At 35.4% G+C, this 6,000-nt stretch overlaps 1 annotated feature.

The window, feature by feature from the left end:
* Positions 1,096-1,390: a silencer, noted in NCBI's record as "tiled region #7038; HepG2 Repressive non-DNase unmatched - State 24:Quies". NCBI's record gives its function as "represses a minimal TATA promoter and a strong SV40 promoter by Sharpr-MPRA in HepG2 cells {active_cell/tissue: HepG2}" and the evidence as "EXISTENCE:reporter gene assay evidence [ECO:0000049][PMID:27701403]".

Below are 6,000 nucleotides of genomic sequence, written 5' to 3' on the forward strand. Positions count from 1 at the left end.
TTCCATCATGCTACCTCTTAGATCATGTGTGCAAATTTGGGGGAATTAGTGTAAAACGTGCAATGGAAACTCAGGCTGTGGCATCAGCAAGTTCGTTCTATGCGAACTCCAGTTGGCCGTGTTGATTCCAACCAATTTCTGCCAATTTTATTATCTTACAAGTGGAGGACATTTCAGAATTTCAGCAAGTTCTTTCTTTTCTTATCTGCTGTCCTGTAAATTCAAGAATTTATGTTAGTTATTGTTATTAACTCTTATTAATAGTTATTAACTCTTTGGGGAACAATTTCACTAGGATCTGTAACCTATCACTCTTACACACTCATAGCTGGTATATTAGGGTTATCCAAAGAGATAGAACCAATAGAATATATATAGAGAAATATACATAAAAAGAGATCATTTATTTATTTCTGTATTTCTGTATTTATTTATTTATTTTGGGGCTTTTTTTTGTTTGTTTTTTGTTTTGTTTTTTTTTTTGTTTGTTTTTTGAGACAGAGTCTCACTCTGTCACCCAGGCTGGAGTGTGCAGTGGTGCAGTCTTGGCTCACTGCAACCTTCACCTCCCAGATTCAAGCAATTCTCGTGCCTCAGCCTCCCTAGTAGCTGGGACTACAGGTGTGTGCCACCATGCCCAGCTAATATTTGTATTTTTAGTAGAGATGGGGTTTCGCCATGTTGGCCAAACTGGTCCTGAACTCCTGGCCTCAACTGATCCATCTACCTTGTCCTCCCAAAGTGCTGGGATTACAGATGTGAACCACCACACCCAGCCTAGGAATTGGTTCATGGACTGGGAAGTCCCATGGTCTGCCATTTGCAAGCTACAGAACTGATTGTGTAAGTCCCAACCTGAGTGCAAAGCCCCAAGAACCAGGAGTGCTGATGTCCAAGAGCAGGAAGTGATGAATGTTCAAGCTCAAGTAGAGAGCACATTTTCCCTTCCTATGCCTTTTCTGTTCTATTCAGGCCTTTAAATGGATAGGATGATGCCCATCAGAATTCTTCGCTCAGCCTACCAATTCAAATGCTAACCTCTTCCAGAAACACTCTCAGACACACACGCAGAAATAATGTTTTATCAGCTTTCTGGACATTTCATAGCCCACTTAAGTTGATGTTAAATTAATCATCACAGTTGATGTATGTGCTCATTGGCCTTTTGTGGCTTTTTTAAGGAAACAGTATCAACATGATTTGGAAACCACTCTGACATGAAAAAATTCGGGCTCTATTTTCATCACATTCCTACTTATTTGGACCAATCTTTACAAAGAGGGAAATCCTGTGCTATGACTCATCAGGTATGAGTTCTATATCTACCCTTGTGCCAGAGTGTAGGCAGAACTCTGGGAATGGCACTACCATTATAGCTACAAGGGATAATGGAGGGGTGGTTCCCAATTAGAAAAGGCCTTGCTGAAAAGACAACACAATCAATACCATCTACATGGTGACCTGTCTATCTTTCTTGAAAGTCTTTCCTTCTGTGGCTTCTTTGACGCTATGCTCTCCTGATCTTCTCTTACCTCTCTGGCAACTTTTCCTCAATATCCTTCCAGGGCTCTCGTATTCCATGCCTCTTTCAAAAGTTGGTCTTCCAGTGGGCTCCATGCTCAGCCCTCTCTTCAATTTCTACAGTCTCTTGGGTGAATGCATATAAACTCATGACTTCAACAGCCACTTCTGTGGCTAATTCTTATCTTTTGCCTAGACTTTTCAACAAGCTCCAAACACAAATTTTCAATTGTCTGCCATATGTATTTTATAAACACTTCAGATGCAACATATTGTAAAGCTGAATTTATCAAGTTTCTCAGAAATCTGATTACCCCTCTCTTAGTCACTATCATTTCCATCACAAGCTAAAGTACATCTTAGGCCAATGCCAAAACCCTCTCTTCCCTTCGTGGTTTATATTTGAGTATTGTAGACAAAAAAAAATCAAAGTAAGGGTAATTCTCTACAGATCTTTAGCGTTAACTGTGAAGTTAATGTCACAGAGAACCAGAGGGTTGCATGGATGTTCTAGTAGCAGGTGCGGGTTTTGGGGTGTGGGTAGGGCTTGGGGGTGAAAAGTGGCTATAATGACATTAAGAAAGAGAAGGGAAGTGCAGGAAGAAGGATGGTCAGCCTCAAAAACAAACATCACTGCTTTACTACTTTGGCAGGGGCTTGCCCTTACTGATCCCAGAGCAAGCAAGGCCATGTGACACATCTCAGTAAAAATTTATGCTTGGAATATACATCCCTAGAGACTCAGAGAGGACAGAATCACAGACATTTATGAATTCAAATGAGGCACTTAAGATCATTATGATACTCATGAAATTTTTGCTAAAATGGGAAATGTAATAGTAATTTTAGCCAAAACTCACACAGAAGCTGTGTCAAAAGCCAAAAGTAAGTATTCTTTGAGCATCCACTAGAAGCCCAGTTTTATGCCATATTTATTAATAGTAAATAAAAGTCAGAAGACTTGGTTATTTCTCACATGGAATGTAAATCTACATAGGGAGATGAAATGAACAACAAATACCTCACCTACTGTGTGGTCCATACATTCTGTCTCTTTTCCACATTTTCGGTTCGGCTTTCCTGAATTTGTTGCTGAGTTCTTTACATACTCTGCTGCTTGTTATTTCTGAGTGTTTTCCAAAGTTATGTCTTCTCTCATTCTCGTTTCTGAAGTTCACCTTCCTCATTCCTGTTTCATCTGACTAATTCCTAATTAGTTCTTTGATTAGAAAGCCTTCCAGACCTCAAGATGAATTTGGATACGTGAGATTAGAGCATTAAAAAAAGTAATAGAAAAGCATTCACTCTGTTTTGGTTGCTAATTATTTATTTATGTTTCCCACAATGCCATGAATTCTGGGACACTGTCTTGTTCATTGTATACGTGTGCACTTGATAACTACTTGTTGAAAAAGAATGGATCATTGATTTTTTATTAAAACAATGTAGGAATTCAATAAAGAAAGTGGCACTTGAGTTTAGGCTTATAGGACACCTAGGAAACCAAGTGATAGAGGAGACAGCAGAAGGAGCCAAAATCAGTTGACAGAAAGGACCATGGACTTGTATATGAGGATTAAAAGGAGATTTGATTCATGTTAAAGCAAATCATTCCCAACTTGAGACCTGCAAATCCCAATGTAATAATAATGAGAACATTATTTATTTTTAACATTTCAAAAAACCATATACAATGTTAGTGTATACTACATAGTTCCATCTATGCCATATGTACTTATGTTGTTATGAAACATTCTCAAACAATAATCATCAAAAAAGAAAAATGAAAAGAAGTAGGAGTTGAGTGAATGAAAGAAGGCTTCACTGAACACTTTCTCTGTGTTATTTTACTTAATCTTTAAAACAAATCTATTTTTCTCATTCCTTTTTTTTTTTTTTTTTTCTTTTGAGATGAAGTCTTGCTCTTGTCACCCAGGCTGGAGTGCAATGGCGCGATCTCGGCTCACTGCAACCTCTGCCTCCCGGTTTCAGGCGATTTTCCTGCCTTAGCCTCCCGAGTAGCTGGGTTTACAGACGCCTGCCACTATGCCTGGCTAATTTTTGTATTTTTAGTAGAGACAGGGTTTCACCATGTTGGCCAGGCTAGTCTTGAACTCCTGACCTCAGGTGTTCCGCCCGCCTCAGCCTCCCAAAGTGCTGGGATTATAGGCATGAGCCACCGTGCCCGGCCTATTTTTCTCATTCTAATAGACGAGAAAACAAAGGCACTAAGAAGCTACTAATTAGAACTTCTGCTAAGTTAGTTTTTATTATAAAATCATTTAGAAACAAATTATTTCATATGGTTTCAGCATGTATGAAAGATACTAGAGTATACCCAGGATTAAAAAGAGACAAAAGGTCATATCCATAGTAAATGTTCAGGAAACTAACATACGAAGAAGAAAAAGATAAATCCTTAATTGTCAGGCTATGAAGATTAGTTGCTGTGTTCATAGAACATGTCTATTTCTGATTAAACATTTTTGAAAAATTGTTTTTCTCACCACAACAAACAATATATTTGGCTTAATGTCAATAAATTAGTTATATTTTTATTGGAACACCTGATGACCAAGACATTTTCAGTCTATCTAGGCACAATACAAGATTTAGCAAGAAACCTTTTGAAAAATTGAAATGGGCTACTTATGAAAATCTTCATGTGGGTGGGAAAAAAAGAAGTTAGAACTTCTCTTGAAGTACGAGCTTATTTTCCTAATTGAACACAGTTTTCCGGAGAAGTGTCAAGAGAAGCACGTGACTGCTGAACTGTTCTAGGAACATGCAGAAATCTAGCAAAATAAAGATTATAGATATTCAAATCTGCAAAGCAAAAATGTAGTTTACAGTATTCTTTTTTGAAGGAAATTATTTTTATATTTATACAGATATACAATTTTTATTAAATATGTAAATGTGATTTTTAACATATATATTTTCAACATTATTTTCCCCCCTTTTTTACTTGTTTTCTTTTCCTCCTACCTTTATTTTTCACATGCATGTCAGGGCACCCTGCCCTGTACCTGTCTGACAAGCCATATTAACATCCTAGTATTGTCCTTTAATATTTTTCAACTTCAGCCTCATGTAACCTAAATCAGATATGGGTTCACACACATGTAGGATGTTTAAATATTATTTATTATATAAAAAGTGGAATTGTATAAGCACATGATTTTCTGTATCTTACTCTTCTCATTCAACACTATCTCAGGTCAACCAAGAGAAATAATTCATTCTTTGTAATAGCTGCATAATATTCCATGTTGTGAATAGCCATTTTTTTCCTACTGTTTCTTCTATTCGTGGACATTATCTTTAGTTTGAAAAATTGGCTTTTAGTTTGTTTTATCATTAAGAATAAGGCTGTTGTGGCCTTAAATAAATACCTTATGTAGTGGTGCTTTTTTTCTAATGAATGTATTCTGAAATCTGTGATCGCTGGTTTAAAAGATGTATGTGTTTTAAATTTTAGCAGATACTACCAAATTGTTTCACAAAACAATTGCAGTGATACACACGTTTACCAACAATGTATGAGAAGGCACTTTTAATGTTCCTAACAGTGTTAAGGATTCCATTATTTGAATAAATTTTAGTATATAAAGTTATAACTATTTAACTTGAATTTCCCTGATCATTGGAAAATAATAACATTTCTTCTTATGTTTCTGGATCTTTCTAATTTGTTCTTTCGTTTTCTCTTTATCCACATTCTTTGCTTAATTTTATATTGGATTGCTTAGTTTTATCTTGCCAATTTGAAAAAAACTCTTTTATAAAATAGATATTAACATTTTTTTCATCTGTGGTACTAATATTTTTGCCCAGTTTCTTTTCAGTCAATTCACTTTACTTAGAGTAGCTTTGAATACAGGTTTTTTTAAAAAATCAAATATTTATGTTATTTTATTCCCTACAAACTCTGAGTTTCTAGTACTTGTTACTAGAAACCTAAAATTAATTTAAAATGAAACTTCCCAGATTTTTACTTATAGCTTTATAATTTTAAGTTATTTATACTCAAATCTCTAAGTCATCTGTATATGGGATATTCATGGAGTTCAACTTAATAAAATCTTTCAATTTGAAGACATATTTCTTTTCATTTGGTATATATCATTTTATGAATGCTAACAAGTTTTATAATTTCCCATGCCATCCCAATGAAATTTGTTTCTAAGACTTTTATGAGATTTTGTTGCTATTGTGGATAGACCATTTTTCCCATTCCAGTTCTAATGGCTTATTGCTTAAATAGAAAATAAAGACTATTGATATTGCATGGTTTTCTTTTCTTCATCTATCTTACCAAATGCTCTAACCAATTCCATTTGTTTTCATATGAAAACCTCTTGTTTTGTAGGTAAACTGTCTCAATTACAAAGAATATTAAAAACATATGCGAAGCAAAGCATGCACAGAATGTATTGATAAGAAAACCAAAGTTCTGTGTGTAGTTGACTGTATGTA

Source organism: Homo sapiens, chromosome 5, assembly GCF_000001405.40.
Source record: "Homo sapiens chromosome 5, GRCh38.p14 Primary Assembly".
Taxonomy (NCBI): Eukaryota; Metazoa; Chordata; class Mammalia; order Primates; family Hominidae; genus Homo; species Homo sapiens.